Raw genomic sequence first — 17,339 nt, 5'->3', positions numbered from 1 at the left:
AAACCAAATGGGGTATTTTAATAGTTATTTTGACAGTAAATAAAATACTTACGGTGAAGCTCCCCTAGTCTGAAACTCAACTAGTTATACGTGTGGAAGGAAATGATTGGTAAGATTCTGCTTCACACCTCAAACCAGAACTGCCAGCCTGATAAGCAAAGATCCCTCCTGTTACCCATTTACTCTAGGGGCTGGGGATAAAGTGAAACTCGTTATATATCCAAGACTAATCAGAGGTGGGAAAAGTGCATCAAGAGAAAAAAATAGAACATGGCAAGCCATGGGTTAGTATTAACTAACATCAAAGAATCAAAGAATTCCAGATTCATCCAGTAACCAGGAAGCCTACAATGTTGAGAAAAATAAAGCAAGAATAATTGGAAAGCAATGCAAATGTTGGAGATACAAGCAAATACACCAGAAAACAAAATCAATTATTCAGGAAAATAGTCCAGTAAACATACACTAGATGCCTGATAATCAGGCAAGATTTTCTCTTAGTCAAATGTCCAAAGACGGCTTCCTTGGATCTAAGCCCTAAAACAACACAACAGGAACACCTGACCAGAAGGAGGAGTTACAGTGGGAGAAAGATAACAATGTCTCAAAACCATAGGACATAGCTTACATTTTTAAAAAAACTGAAAATGGAAAAAATATAATGCACCTGTAATAGAATCTGTCAATATCTCATCATTCCTGAGACCTTTATTTACCCCTTCTGACTTCTCACTGCCAATTCTGGCATCTCTCTAAATACTGTTTGTTTGTTTGTTTGTTTTCATTCTTCAAAGCCCTGGAACGATACTTTGCTTATGGGCAGCAGACACCAGAAGTGCCAGCTTATTACTACTGTCAGGGAACAGTCCTCAATGAATGGCTTACTGGAGTTGGTGTAACAGTACCCCAGTCTTCTCTCCTCTTGGATGGGAGAGTCCTAAGACTTGACTTTGCCCTGGCCTCAGGTTGCCCCTAAGAAACTAAGTTCCAGGGACCCCCCGTGGTAGCTAGATTTGAAAAAGCACCTGTTAGTGGCTACTAAACCTCCAATCCTCTGCTGGCACACCCTACATCTTCCCCCACAAAAGTACCTGAACTTCAATTCTTATTTTAGGGACTGAGGTCTCCATTTTCTTTCTGGCCACGGGCTAGGGACCACTCTCAGCTCATAGAAGCCACTGCCTGTCCCTTGCCCCAGGAGCCCCTCCACTTCAGCAATGGAGAAATCAGCCAGGTCAAGCCCCTCTCATACTTGGAATCTCTCTAAACTACTTCCTCAGTCACCAGCCAGAGTAAACTGCGCTGTTAAAGGACCTGTGTTTTCATATGAGGCCTGCTCAGATAATGTTCATATCCTAAGGTCAGCTGATGTAGGGCTGTCCCTAGGTTAGTTGCTTGATCGAATCATCAAGGGCCAGGAGGCATGGAGAGCCATCTGACAATTGTGACAACCGCAGCAATCGTTTAATTAAACATGAGATTGAGGTGGTGTTTGCACAATTCTGTAAATATATAAATAATCATTGAATTGTGAACTTAAAACTGATGGACTTTACGTATGTAACTTCTATCACAATAAAGCTTTTAAAAATCACTTCCAGACACATCATCTTATTTATTCCTTAGAAAATCTTTTGTATTTTAGTTATTATTATTCCTATTTTTGCAGATAAGGCCAAACTAAGACAGAGTTTAAGGTATTCCCATGAACACATAGTGGTAAAACTAGAATCAAATGAATGTCTTTTGCAGATTACATTACTTTGTCCTATTTACTGCCTGTTTTATGTAAATGTAAGGCAGCCTTATAATTTTTTAGATATTTCCTGAAAAATACTCACCATTTTAAAATGCAGATCACATTACAATTTTATATTTTCCTGTAGAATTGCTTTCAGGTTTTAAATCAGTTTCTACAGGGTTAAAGTTGAAGAAAATACTTAGGAAGTCAATTGCTCTTTTTGTAAAACTCCCCTACATAGCAGAGCTGGGGTGGCAGGGAGGGAAGTGTCTTGTGATGAACATTAACAGCAGATAAGAACCTCAGTCCGTTTTTCTCAGTGTAAAAAGAAATGTATAATGAATTCCAGTGTCCCATATTAGAGATAGTCTATTTTATACTCTACACGTTTTGCCTGAGAGTATGGAGTCTCAAAAGTGCCACATGAACAGTCACAGCTGTTATTTCCACTGATTCAGAAACTACAGTCCTAAAATAAATCCCACACTTAATTAGCAATTCAAATATTGCATAAAATATTTCTATGCTCCAATTTTTTTCAGCTGATAAAAATTCAGGTTTTTTAATAAAAAGGAAGACAACTAAAATATTAAAAGTCCAAGGAGAATGCAGGAATAAAATTGATTTTAATTGTGTTTCTTCCCCTAAAGGAAAAACATTTTTCTCATGTAAAGTATGTTTTAGGGATCACTAAAAATTTTGCAATTGCTTAACAGCTGCCTGGTACATACACACACACACAAGCACACTCACATAAACTGATAAAAGTTTTGAATACTGACAAAAGAATATGTTATAAACTATTAAAACCTGAAACTGTCAGTTGCTTTTAATTTCATAAATGACGAATATTCATTAAACCCGCAAAAATATATGTACGTATATATATTTAATTTCCACCATCACTATTGGTTTCGTCATCCAAGATGTCTTGAAGACATTTTCTTTTTCTTCTTTCTTATCCACACTATGCCTTCAACACAAAATAAAATGAAGTGCCCTTATAGATGTTCTACTGTTAGAAAGTCTTAGAACAATCATTCCTTAGCTCTTTTCACTTTGCCTAATTTTACATATACATCTATCAAGTGAGATGCTTGTTAAATAGTCAATTCGTGTTCAGAGTAGCCACACGTGACTCAAACTTAGTGGCATTAAACACTTAAAAGAGTAATAAGGCAGTTAAAAGTCTCAGTTGGCTAAATTATAATCCCTGGGGCAGTCTTTTCTTTACAGCCTGCACTACTTTCTTGCCATCATTAACAGTTACATTCAGATAGCAACCCCTGTTACTTTGTTTTTTTCTTCTTTGAGATGGAGTCTCTCTCTGTCATCCAGACTGGAGTGCAGTGGGGCAATCTCGGCTCACTGCAACCTCCGCCTCCCGGGTTCATGCCAATCTCTGGCCTCAGCCTCCTGAGTAGCTGGGACTACAGGCCCCCGCGACCACGCCTGGCTAATTTTTTGTATTTTTAGTAGAGATGGGGTTTCACCATGTTATCCAGGATGGTCTTGATCTCCTGACCTCGTGATCTGCCTGCCTCAGCCTCCCAAAAGTGCTGGGATTACAGGCGTGAGCCACTGTGCCCAACTCTCTGTTACTTCTTAAACCTTTTATAATTATACTATTCCAGGGGTTCTGGTGACCTCAGGCTCTGATCAAAAACTTGGTTGAGCATTAGAAATGGTGGACCTTCAGTGAAAAAGAAATGGGTTTGGATATAATATATTTAAATACATAAGTTTTCTACTCTGTCATTATTTTGCTTATTCCAGAGTGAAAGATGGAATGCTCGGAAGCAATGGTTTTTGTCTCCCCTGGAAGAACTATGAATGAAGTGATAGTTCTGATGTGATATAATCATTTCATATCACATGATTTATGTTGTCTCAGTCCCCATGTGAGTATAGGTTTAACCTCCTTACACCAGAAACCGGACCCAGTCACCCTTGACAGTTTCCAGCTCTACACCTCTCCTAGTAACTGCATCCTTAGCAACTGGCTAGACAAGACTGCTTAGAGTTTCTTGAGAATTAGGCTTGCTGGCAGCTTGGCATAGTATAATTCTGAACTTCCAGAGTCCCTATAAATAACATCACTTTGGTACAGCCAAGTAACCAGCTACGCAGCCATCTACACAGCTTCTTCATGCTCTTATTCTCTCTACTTCCTACACAATAAACAATTTCATAGTATAAACAGAATAAAGAAAAACAACCAAGGGCAGAAAGAAGACAAAATTAAGGATTAATTTACTAGCAGCTTTCCAGTATGCAAATTTGTATCAGTGGAATATACTGGAAATGGGATATCAGTTAATAAGCTTTCCATACATGACATCTTGCACAATTGGCAAATATAAATGGAATCACACGCAAACGTATGTAATACAGAATGCACTGGCCAGATGACTGCCTTTTAAATTGTTGTTTCCAAGCAGCTGACAGCCTGAGAAATAAAGAAACAGAAAGGATGGTGTAGTGGTGGTGTACTAGGGGCAGATGAAGATTGCAAATGTGTGTGATTAGATAAGGTAGATAAATAGATTGATTGATTGATTGATAGATGATAGATAGATCGATCTTAAAATTCCTCCTGAGAAGCTGTTCAGAAAATTTACAGTAAAAAATTTCTTATTTGAACAGGAATAAAACTTTTAGTGATGGGTAATATGTTTCTCAGTTCATCTAACTAATTAAATGTTGAGCAAACCATTGAAGGGTGATCAATTTTTGGAGAAGGTTAAAAAACTGTGGCAGGACGTAATAGTACCATTTCTGATGCTAGAAGAATTGTCCTTAGAATTCTCCTATCTTTATTCCCAAAAGGAAACCATGATTTGTTTAGCTAATTCTATTCATAATGACACAGAAATTTCCTAAATAATTATCTTCTCTAATTACCACCATCTGAAAACTAGAGTGAGGAGATGCCATTTGCAAAACTTTTATAATCCTGGGGAAATTTATGCAATCATACATAAAATACATTTACTTTTGTTATAACTATGCAAAGAGCTATAATTGGCCTTATTTTAATAAACCTATTCTATCATTTTTTAAGAAATTTTATTTTGGGTATAATTCTCATTCTGCTAACACTACTTTCTAAAATTCATATTGAAGACAATGCAAGTTCACCTGAAGATGTCTTTCTTGCAGTTGTTAAAATATGAACTAAATTATGAATGACTACAGCAGTGAATGAAAGTACCTTTAACATGTTACTAAAGCATGAGAAAAAGAAGAGCTTCTCTGTAGCCTTCATAATTCTAACAAAGACACTAAAATAATGAAAGTTTTCTTTAAATCTTTTGGTGTGTCTTAATGATGCCAATTTATAATTCAAACACCTTCACTATCTTGCAAGCAATTTAGTATCTTTTTAAATGTAACTGGTCATGTTTACTCTTTCAGATTTGGGATCATCTCCTTTTCTCCTGTGTTGATCGCTCAGTCTTCACCATTACACTGACTCAAAACATCCAACTCTCATGGGCGCAACCCTTAGTTCCTTCCAGTGAGGCAAAGCAGCTGAGGCCTGCTGTGAGCAGAGCTTTTCTCTGACTCCGAATTTGGTTAATGTAGTGCATTCACCCAGAGGTGAAAGAGTTCTTTACAAGAGCTCTGAAAACATGCAGCACTATGGAAGGAAACATACCATCTGAAGCAATACAAAGTATATTTATAAAATAGAATAGCTCTTTTTGAAGTCTACTAAATAGGATCCACATTAGGCAGAACTATTTAGGGGTGTTTCCACATTGATGATGTAACCAGTCGAGATACATTTATTAAGAAACTATCCTTCTATTCTTTTTTAACTATTTATTTTGAAACAATTATTGACTCACTAAAAGTTGCAAAAATAATAGAGTCCTGTTCATCTTCACCCAGCTTCCCCTAATGTTAACAACATGTATAATTAATAGTATTATGTCAAAACCAGAAACTGTCATTGAGTCAATGCCGATAACTAAATGACAGACTTTATTCACATTTCACCAGTTTACATGCACTCTTTGTGAGTGTGTATAGTTCTATACAATTTTATCACATGTATGTGCTTGTGTAACCACCATGAAAATAAAAATATTACACTGTTCCATCCCTGCAAAGAAGCTCTCATGAGCTACCCCTTTATAGCCACTGTCTCTTGTCCCTAGCAACTACTGAACTTCTCTCCATCTCTATGATTTTATTTCAATAATTTTCTATAAATGGAATCACATAGCATACAAATTTTTTGAAAGCAATTTCTTAATTTTATTTCAGTAATTCGTATTCAAATAGCCTAATGCACTCAATTTTTAATAGTAAATATGCTTTAGGAAGGAAAAACATCTTCATATGATTCTGTTGTCATGCTAAGAACTAGAGGAGGGACCAATACACTAGTAATTTTTTAATAACAAATTAATATATTCTTGCAAATATATGCAAGAAAAACATGGTATCTCTTTTGTTACTAAATTTATTCCTTTTCTTGGGTAACCTTGAGAATTTGGCTTCTATGTCACTTTTTATATAGTGAATTCATATAATTTTATGTTGTGTCAGCCACCATTGTGAATGTAGGTTTAACTTTCTCAAACCACAAGCAGGGCCTAGTCACCCTTGACAGTTTCCAGCTCTACTCCTCCCCCAGGTCCCCAGTGTGGTGGGTCCAAACATTTGTCTTATACAACTGCCTCCTGGTGACCACCTTCCCATGAGACAGCTAGTTACAACTTACTTGACTGGCCCTGCTAACCCTCATACCCCATATGAACTGTGCAGATATGCCACAATGACCACCTCTCAGTCACGGGTGACCTCCTAAAAGTTGTGCCTGCTTTCTTTAAACTCATCAATTAAAGCTTCCCACAGGAAACCTATTGAGATCATGCCCTGGGCCCCAGTAAAGGCACTGGCCTGTGGGTCCCTCCCTCTCTTTTTTCATTGACCAACCTCCATGTGACCTTCAGGCATGTCATTCACTCCCAGGACCTGTAATTAATAAAATATTTATTTCCATCTTGGGTCTCTTCTAATCACTGAAGGGGTATTCTTTATTTAAAAAAAAAAAAAACCTTCAAACACGTGATTGGCTTTCTTCACTCAAAATGATGTCTTTGAAATTCATCCAACTTGTAATGTGCATTGGCAGTTTGTCCTTTTTTATTACTACATAGCGTTTCCATTGTGTAGATGTACCACGATATGTTTAACCCTTTATCTTTTTGAAGGACATTTGTGTGATAATATCAGTTTGGGACCGTAGCTGCTGTGAACATTCATGAACAGGTTTTGTGTGAACATGTTTTCATTTTTCCGGGATAATTTCCAGGAGTGTATTTGCTGGATCACATAATCCTATCTTCATTTAAAATTTTGAAGTTTGTTCATCGTGGGTTTTTTTGCATTAATTTTTATTTTTTAAAATATTGCATTAAAGTGCCGTTTATCTTAATTACTGATGTTTGGCACCCTTCCTTAAATCATTTACCAGAGGTGAGTGCCTCACTTACCTGACCTTAGTCTTGGTCCTGGCTATGTAGATATTTCGTTTTATAAGTATCTGCCTAATGGTTTTCTAGAGGGGCTGACAATGTGGCTGGAATTTTCACCAGCAATGTATGAATGATCCAGTTTCTATGCATCCTTACCAGCATTTGGTATTGTGACTTGTCCATTCTGTGGCTTTTCTTTTCATCCTCTTTACAGTCTTTCAAAGACCAAAAGGTGTTTTTTTTTTTAAATCAGGATGATATGCAATTTATCAATTTTTCTTCAAAGAATTAGTATTACTTCTAAAACTTCATTACATAACCCTGGGTCCCAAAGATTTTCCCATATTTTCTTTTTTCCAATGGTTTCACATAGTTTAAAATTTTACATTTAATTTCAGGATCCATCTGGTTAAAAATTTTATAAGAAATGAGGTTTAAGTTAATGATGTTTTGTTTTAGAGTTTTATCTAAACTGGATGCTTTATTTTATCAAATTTATATTCAAATTGTATAGAAATTATTACATATATCTATTTGCTACTTGACCTATGAAAGGAATATGACTAATATTTGGTACTTTTAACCTCTACCCTAGTATCAGTAATTCCACTAAAATAAGCTACTGATAAATTAATTGGGGTCTTGTTTGTATGTTTGCTTTTGGTTGTAGGTTTTTCAATAAAAAACAACAAGGTCATTTTTCTCATCCTTCCCATAGAAAGTGGGTTAGGCCTTAGTTCATTTAAATGTATGGATCCACTGCCTAACAGAAAAACTAGAATTCCTTTGTTAATATTTTAGTCTGATCTCCAACCCATCCACAAAATCCTCTTCAAAATTGTAAGAAATCTGGGAAACAAACTGAAACAAACACATATCAGAAGGTCTATGCCATGATTCACAACCTATTTAAACACAATGCACATTTTTACTGTAAGAAACACATTATAACACTCTAGTTGTTATTCTGAAATGAATTAATAAATGATAAAAAGCTACTTACATATGAATTTTTAATTCAGTATAGTGGCCTTACTGCATAATAAACGTGAAATAAAAGGAAATTCATTTATAATCAAATAATATGTAGATCATTTTAATGTTTGAGCATGAGTACACTAAAACATATAATGAAATAGTCAGATGATTTTACTTATGTGTAATCTCCCCAGTGCTATAGCTACAAGTACAGTCTGTTACAGGCATGTTGCATTGGCCATTTAAAATTCGTGAATTAGAATGTCATTGTTTTCATAATTTGTCAAAATGGTAATCAAATTTTCATAGTATACTTAGCAAAACAAAGTACCTCTTTTCTCAATTTATACAACATTTGCACTCCTACAAATGTACATAAAAACAATACAAAAACTATTTCTTATGTTGATTTTTACTATGGAGCTGAATTTTCACCTCAAACATAAATATATTTCTCACCTTTGCAGAAATAACTGTAGAGAAGTTATCTCTACAGTTAAAGAAGCAAGATTTTGCTAATCAGAAGTGCTGCCTACATTGCAGAACATCTAACATCCCCAGTCTTCAACTATTGTTAACACTATACCCTCTTACATGCTTTCTAAATGCCCCCATAAAGGTATGAGCTAAATCACTATTAAGAAACCCCAGCCTAATCTAACTGGCACAAAACCTGATTACTGCAGACACTAAGCAAATTATGTCAATGTATGAATTTGCCTGGTTATTAGGTCTGTAGAGTGCTTTAAATTTCAGTATTTTAAATACTTAAATGTATTTATAAATAATGTTGGAGGTCTTCCAAGATGACTAACTAGGGGCACAGGACACTCAACCCCTCCACAAAGAAGAGCCAAAATACTGAGTAGATAATCACACTTTGAATAAAACATCTAAGAGAGAGTACTGGATTCAGCAGAGAAGAGGCAGGAAATACTTGAGAAACCTGGGAAGAGGGAGGTGATAGGGACAGCCCAGCTGCAATGGGCTGGAAGCCCATAGAGGCTCCCCAGTGCAAGGAGAGGGCAAGAAGAGATCTGCAGTGGTTCACATTCCCACTGCAGACTTCTGTACTCCTAGCTGCAGGAGAGTCCCTCAACCCCTGTAATCTCTGAGACTGGCATAGGGATTTCCCTGTAGTCTGCATGATGGTATTGCTCCAGAAAGGGAGCTCACACTGGGTCCCACACCATCCCTGAGTCCCATACGATTGCAGCAAAGGGCCATTTTGTGAGCCCAAACCCCAGCAGACTGCATCCTGACATGAGGCCCAAGAGCCTGTGTATCTCCACATCCCTAAAGCCCCACTGACATCCTCCTACCTCCATCTGGAGGGCTATAGTGGTGAGATGCTGGTTAGACCCAGCAGAGCGGTAGGGGCCCTAGCAATCTAGCCCACATAGTTTCCTACATGCCAGGAGAGGGGCAGTGCAGAGCAATAAAGAGGCTGTTTCCAGGACAAAAACAAACAAAGAGCATACTCCCCAGAGTCTGAAACCCACATGTCTTGGGCCACTATCACCAACAGCAACCCTGCCTCCCTCCAGCAACAGGAATGCCACCCATGTCCAAGTACTCTGGGGACAGACTCTATTCACCATCTCCTGCAGCCACTGTCACCACTGGAAAATTAAATGCATAATCCCCAGAGTCTAAAACTTATCTCTGTGGGGCCATTGTCACTAACGGCAATGCTGCCCCCTCAACAGCAGAGCTGCCACATACGTGCATGTGCCCTAGAGACAACATTTCAACACTCACTGCTTTTGCTGCCACCACCACACAAGCACACCACCAGGGCCTAGGGATCACCCTGCCCTGCTCACCACAGCCTGCACCTGTGTTTGCCACTGGGGATCCTGAGGACAGTGACCAAGCCTGCTACCTGGGGGTCCAGTGATCAACCCGCCCAGTTGGTCACTGGGCACACATGCAGATCACCAGGGAGCCAAAGAACAAGTCCAGAAATAACTGCTACTGATACCCAAGCATGCTTGTCGGGAGGCCTGGAGATTGCCGCATCCTATTCAACACTGCTGGCATCTGGAAGCTTATCCTGGGGGCTTGAGGACAGACATGGCTGGCTTGTCACAGCCACCACTAACATCAGCAGGTGCCACCTGAAAGCCCAAGCATTTGTCCCACTACCACTACTATCACAGCCCACATCACACACACTGCTCAGGGGTCCAAGGACTCCCCAACCTACCTGACCACCTGCTTCCACTTCTGGCACTCAAGCAAGCATTTGGAGGCCCAAGGATAGTCCTGCCTGGACCCGCTAGTGCCAGTGTATATGTATACAGACCGGGGCTCAAGGATAGGCATACTTGGCCTATTGCTGCCACCATGGGGTCCTGAAGATTGGCCCACATGGTGTACCATTCCCAGCAAAAGTTCCTTTCAGCCTTCACTAACATCTGCACGCTAAATCACTGAAAAAGTCAGACACCACTCGTACTGTTTACAGCCAAAGCAATCATATAAAAACTACACTACTGCCAGGATCCAAAATCAAAGCTAAAGTGCCCTACAAAAATGAAACCACAGGTAGATCTACAGGAAAAACTCATCTCCAATGAAAGTCAATTCAAAAAAATTAGAAGAAGTAACTGTTACACCTCAGGGACAGACATCGATGAAGGGCTACAAGAAACATAAAAGAGCAACAACAACAAAAATGACACCTCCAAGGGAACACAATAATTCTCAAACAACAGATTCCAACAAAAAGAAATGTACTCAATACCTGAGATAAAATTCAAAATAATGATATTAAAGAATTTCAGTGAGATACAAGAGAACACAAATAAGCAATACAAAGAAATCAGAAAAAAATTCAGAATATGAATGAGAAATTCGAGAAAAGATAGATATTATTGAAAAGAATAAAACACAATCCTTGAACTAAAGAATTTCATAAATGAAATGTAAAATACAATTGCACATTTCCATAACAGACTAGATGAAGCAGAAGAAAGAATTTCAGAACTTGAAGACAGGTCTTTTGAAATAACCTACCCAGATTTTTAAAAAATGAAAAAAAAGAAAGCCTACATGATATATGGTACATGATAAAGCAACAAAATATCTAAATTTGGGGTCTCCCAGAAAAGGAAAAGAAGTTTAATGGCATAAAAAACTGAAAAAATAACACCCCAGAAATTTTCAAGACTAGTAAGAGACTTACACATCCAGACACAGGACACTCAGGTGTCCCCAGATAGATACAACCCCAAAGGAACTTCTCCCTGGCACATTATTGTCTAATTGTCAAAGACCAAAGAAAGGAGAATTGCAAAAACGGCAAGAGAAAAGTATCTACTCACATATACTCACATATAAAGGAAACCCTATTAAACTAACAACAGATTTCTCAGCAGAAACTTGGCAGGTCAGGAGAGAATGGGACAATATATTAAAAGTGCTGAAAGAAAATGACTGGTAACCAAGAATACCATTTCCAGCAAAGTTATCATCATAAGAGAAGGAGAAATAAAGATTCCCAGATAAGCAAAAACTGAGAGAATTTTTTACCACTAGAATGTCCTTACAGAAAATGCTCAAGGGAATCCTATACCTGAAAGCTAAACAGAGATACTCACAGTCATGAAAACATTTGAAAGTGTAAACTAACTGGTATAGAAAACATACCAATATGGAAGAGGAAGAACTTAAATGTTATTACTACCAAACCATAACCATAAACGATGAGAGAAAGAAAGAAACAAGGAATATACAAAGCAACAAGAAAACAATTAACAAAATGACAGTAATACATTCTCACATATCAAAATTACCTTGAAAGTAAACGAATTAAACTTTCCACTTAAAATTTATATGCTACATGACCCAACTATATGCTGTGTCCAACAAACTCACTTCACCTCTAAAGACACATACGGACTGAAAGTACAGGAATGGAAAAAAAACCTATCTACTCAAAAAGCAAAAGCAAGCAAGAATTCATATACTTATGTAGGATAAAACACACTTTAAGTCAAAAATAGTAAAGATATCAAGAAAGTATTTATATAATAATAATGGAATCAATTCATCAAGATGATTTAACAATTCCAAATATAAATGTACTATATTAGTTTGTTTTCACACTGCTGATAAAGACATATCCAAGACTGGGCAATTTACAAAAGATAGAGTTTCAACGGACTTACAGTTCCACATGGCTGGGGAGGCCTCACAATCATGGTAGAAAGCAAGAAAGAGCAAGTTATGTCTTACATGGATGGCAGCAGGCAAAAAAGAGAGAGAGAGAGACAGCGCTTGTGCAGGGGATCTCCTCTTTTTAAAACTATCAGATCTCATAAGACTTATTCACTATCATGAGAACAGTATGGGAAAGATCTGCCCTCATGATTCAGTTACCTCCCACATGGTGCCTCCCATAGGGTCCCTCTCATAACAGGTGGGAATTCAAGGTGAGATTTGCGTAAGGACACATCCAAACCACATAATGCACCTAACAATGGAGTACTCAGATATATAAAGCAAATATTCATAGATATAAAAGGATAGATAGACTCCAGCAAGATAGTAGTTGAGGATTCCAAAACTCCACTCCTTGGAATAGATTGATTAGACAGAAAATCAGCAAACATTGGATTCAAACTGCATTAGCCTAAATGGATCTAAACAGACATTTACAGACCATTTCATCCAACAGATGCAGGAATACACATTCTTCTCATCAGCATATGATAAATACCCCAAGAGATATCATATGTTAGACAAGATAAGTCTCAAGAATTTTTTTAAAAATCGAAATCCTCTCAGATATCTTCTCAGACCACAATAGCATACAACAAGAAATCAGCAACATGTGAAACTTTGAAAACTCCGCAAATACATGGAAATTAAGCAACATGCTCTTGAACAATCACTGGGTCAGTGAAGAAATTAAAACAAAACTCAAAACTTTTTTTTGAAACAAACAAAAATGGAAACAATATACAAAAACCTACAAGATATAGAAAAAAAAGTGGTGCTACTAGGGAAATTTATAGTAATAAATCCCTACATCAAAAAGGTAGAAATGTTTCAAATAATCAACCTAACAATGTACCTCAAGGGACTAGAAAAGCAAGAAAAACCAAACCCCAAATTCGTAGAAGGGATAAAAAAAGATCAGAGCAGAACTAAACAGAGACTAAAAGGAGCAATACAAATAATAAACAAAATGAAAACTTGGTTTATCAAAAAGATATATAAAATTGAAAAACCACTAGGTGGACTAACCAAGAAAACAAGAGAGAAGACCCAAATACACAAAATTAGAAGTTAAAAAGGAGACATTACTGCTGATACCACAAAAATACAAAAGATCATCAAGACTACTACGAACAACTAAACACTAACAAACTAGAAAACCTAGAAGAAATGGATAAATTCCTGGACACATACAACCTACTAGATTGAATGAGAAGAATTAAAAACATGAACAGACCAATAAGGAGTAACAAGATTGAATCAGTAATAAATAGTCTCTCAACAAAGAAAAGCCAAGGACTAGATCACTTCACTGCCAAATTCTACCAAACATGTAAAGAAGTAATACAAATTATCCTTAAACTATCACAGAATATTGGAGAGAAGGAAATTCTTTCTAACTTATTATATGAATCTCGTAGTACCCTGATACCAAAAGCAAACAAGGACACAAGAAAAAAAACTACAGGCCAATGTCCCTGGTGAACATAGATGCAAAAATCCTAAATGAAACACTAGCAAACTGTATCCAACAGCACATCAAAAATATAATACACCTATCAAGTAGGATCTATTCCAGGAATGCAAGTATGGTTCAACATACAGAAATCTACAAACCTGATACATAACATCAACAGAATAAAGAAAAAAAGCCATATGATCATTTCAATAGATACAGAAAAAGCATTTGATAAAAACATTCTTTCCTGACAAAAATGCTAAACAAAGCATAGAAGGAACATACCTCAAAATAATAAAAGCCATATATGACAAATCCACAACTAACATACTAAAATGGGTATAGCTGAAAGCCTTTCTTCTAAGCATCGACACTAGACAAGGATGCTCACTTTCACCACTCCTGTTCAATATATTACTTGAAGTTCGAACCAGAACAACCAGGAAAAAGAAAGAAATAAAAGTCATCCAAAGTGGAAAAGATGGGATCAAATTGTCACTCTTTACAGACAATATAATCTTATACTTAGGAAACCTAAAGATTCAGCCAAAAAATTCTTTGATCTGATAAATAAAGATTAAATGAAGGATACAAAATCAACATATAAAAATGAGTAGTGTTTCTACACATCAATAACAAACCAGCTGAAAGAGAAATCAAGAAAACAATCACATTTACAATAGGTACCAAGAAATAAAATGCCTAGAAATAAATTTAATTAATAAGGTGAAAAACATCTACAAGGAAAAGTACACAACACTGATGAAAGAAATTGAAGAGAACACAAATGGAAAGACATCCTATGCTCGTAGATTAGAATAATTAATATTGTTAAAATAACTGTACTGTCCAAAGCATCTACAGATTCAACACAATTCCTATCAAAATACCAATGACATTTTTCACACAAACAGAAAAAGCAATCTTACAATTTGTATAGAACCAAAAAAGAGCCTGAATAGCCAAAGAAATCATGAGAAAAAAAGAATAAAGCTGGAAGCATCACACTACCTGAAATTATGAGGCCATAGTAACAAAAAGAGCAGGATATTGGTATACAAATAGACACAGAGACCAATGGAACAAATTAAAGAACCCAGAAATAAACCCTCATATTTACTGCTATTTCACAAATCAACTGCTATTTCACAAAGATGCCAAGAACATACACTGGGGAAAGAAAATCCTCTTCAACAAACAGTTCTGGGAAAACTGGGTATCCATATGCAGAAGAATGAAACTAGATGACTATCTCTCTAAATATATAAAAATTAACAAAAACAAAAATAAACTAATGTAACTACATCAAACTGAAGATCTTCTGCACAGCAAAGGAAACACTCTCCCATTTAACAGATTGAAGAGGTAATCTGTTAAATGGGAGAAAATAGATGCAACTATTCATCTTACAAGGGCCTAAAATCTAGAATATGTAAGTTTGTAAACAACTCAATAGCAAATCACAATCTTATTTAAAAGTGGGAAAAGGATCTAAATACACACTTATCAAAAGAAGACATATGAATGCCCAACAGGTAAGTGAAAAAACACTCAATATTGCTAATCATCAGAAAAATGTAAATCAAAACCACAATGAAATATCATCTCGCCGCAGTTAGAACTGTATTATCAAATTACAAAAAAAAATGCAAATGCTGATAGGGATGCAGAGAAAAGGGAACTCTCATACACTGTTAGTATGAATGTAAATTAATAGAGCCACTATAGAGAACCGTATGAAAGTTTCTCAAACAACTAAGAATAGAACTACCATATGATCCAGCATTGCCACTACTGGGTATCTAACCAAAAGAAAAGAAATCAGTATATGATAGGGTTTGGCTGTGTCCTCATCCAAGTCTCATCTTGTATTGTAATCCACATAATGCCCATGTGCCGTGGGAGGGACCCAGTTGGAGGTAATTGAATCATGGGGGGTTATTACCCCCCAGGCTGTTCTCATAATAGTGAGTGAGTTCTCAGGAGATCTGATGGTTTTATAAGCTTCTGGCCTTTCCCCTGCTTGTACTCACTCAGTCCTGCTACCCTGTGAAGAAGGTGTCTGCTTCTCCTTTGCCTTCCACCATGATTTTAAGTTTCCTGAGGCCTCCCCAGCAATGCTGAACTGTGAGTCAATTAAACCTCTTCCCTTTATAAATTACCCAGTCTTGGGTATTTCTTCATAGCTGTGTGAGAATGAACTAATACAGCACATCAAAGGGATACATGTGCCCCCTATGTTTACTGTAGCACTATTAACCATAGCAAAGATATATAATCAACCTAAACATTTATCAGTGGATGAATAAAGAAAATGTGGTATATTTACACAACGAAATACTACTCAGCCACAAATAAGAATGAAATCATGTCATTTGCAGCAACATGGATGGAACTGGAGGTTATTATGTTAAGTAATGCAGACACAGATAAACAAATATCTCATGTATTTACTCATATGCGGAAGCTAAAAAAAATGATCTCATGTAGGTAAAGAGTACAATGATAGTTACCGCAGGCTGTTAAATATATGGATTTGTGTTGGTAGGAGAGATGAAGTGAGGTTGAATAATCGGTACCAACATACTTTCAGATAGAAAGAATAAATTCTAATGTTCGATAATAGATTAGGGTGACTATAGTCAACAATGTGGAGTACATTTCAAAATAGCTAGAAATGAGGACTTAAAATGTTCTGAACACATAGAAATGATAAATGCTCCTGGTGATGCATGTCCTATGTAGCCTGACTTGATCATTACACATTCTATACATGTAACAAAATATCACATGTACCCCATAAATATGTACAAATATTATGTAGCAATGAAAGATAAAATTTTAAAAATACTAACACTATGCCTCCCACACAAAATACATTCACTACCTAGTGTATTCCAACTGTAGCTTGCCAGGTAATGAACCCTGATCTAGACCAGTTGATTCATTCCTTCTGGATTTTCTGAGAGCATAAGAAAAATGATGTTGGTGCTGAATTCAGTAGGAAGATGATTCTGTAACAGGGCTTTGTAAACAGGGGGAAGATACCTTCAGTGGAGGTATTTATATTTGAATAAAAATTTAAAAGCCCATAAGTAAACATCTCAGGATTGCTGAGAATTGACTGAAAACCTCCCTGAGGGAACTACTAAAGGCTGTACTTGAAAAAGAAATAAAAAATTAATTCAGAAAATAAGCAATGGTGAAAATAATTGGTAGTGATAAGGATAAGCCCAAATTAACATTGGCTGTATTCATAGCATTAAGAAAAACAATAGTAGGTTGAGCATGCTGGCTCATGCCTGTAATCCCAGCACTTTGGGAGGCTGAGGCAGGTGGATCACCTGAGGTCAGGAGTTCAAGACCAGCCTGACCAACATGGAGAAACCTCGTCTCTACTAAAAATAAAAAAATTAGCTAGGCTTGAACCTGGGAAGTGGAG

This window comes from Homo sapiens, chromosome 7 (assembly GCF_000001405.40).
Source record: "Homo sapiens chromosome 7, GRCh38.p14 Primary Assembly".
Lineage (NCBI taxonomy): Eukaryota > Metazoa > Chordata > Mammalia > Primates > Hominidae > Homo > Homo sapiens.
The sequence above is the reverse complement of the archived record's forward strand: the minus strand, read 5'-3'. Positions refer to the sequence as shown.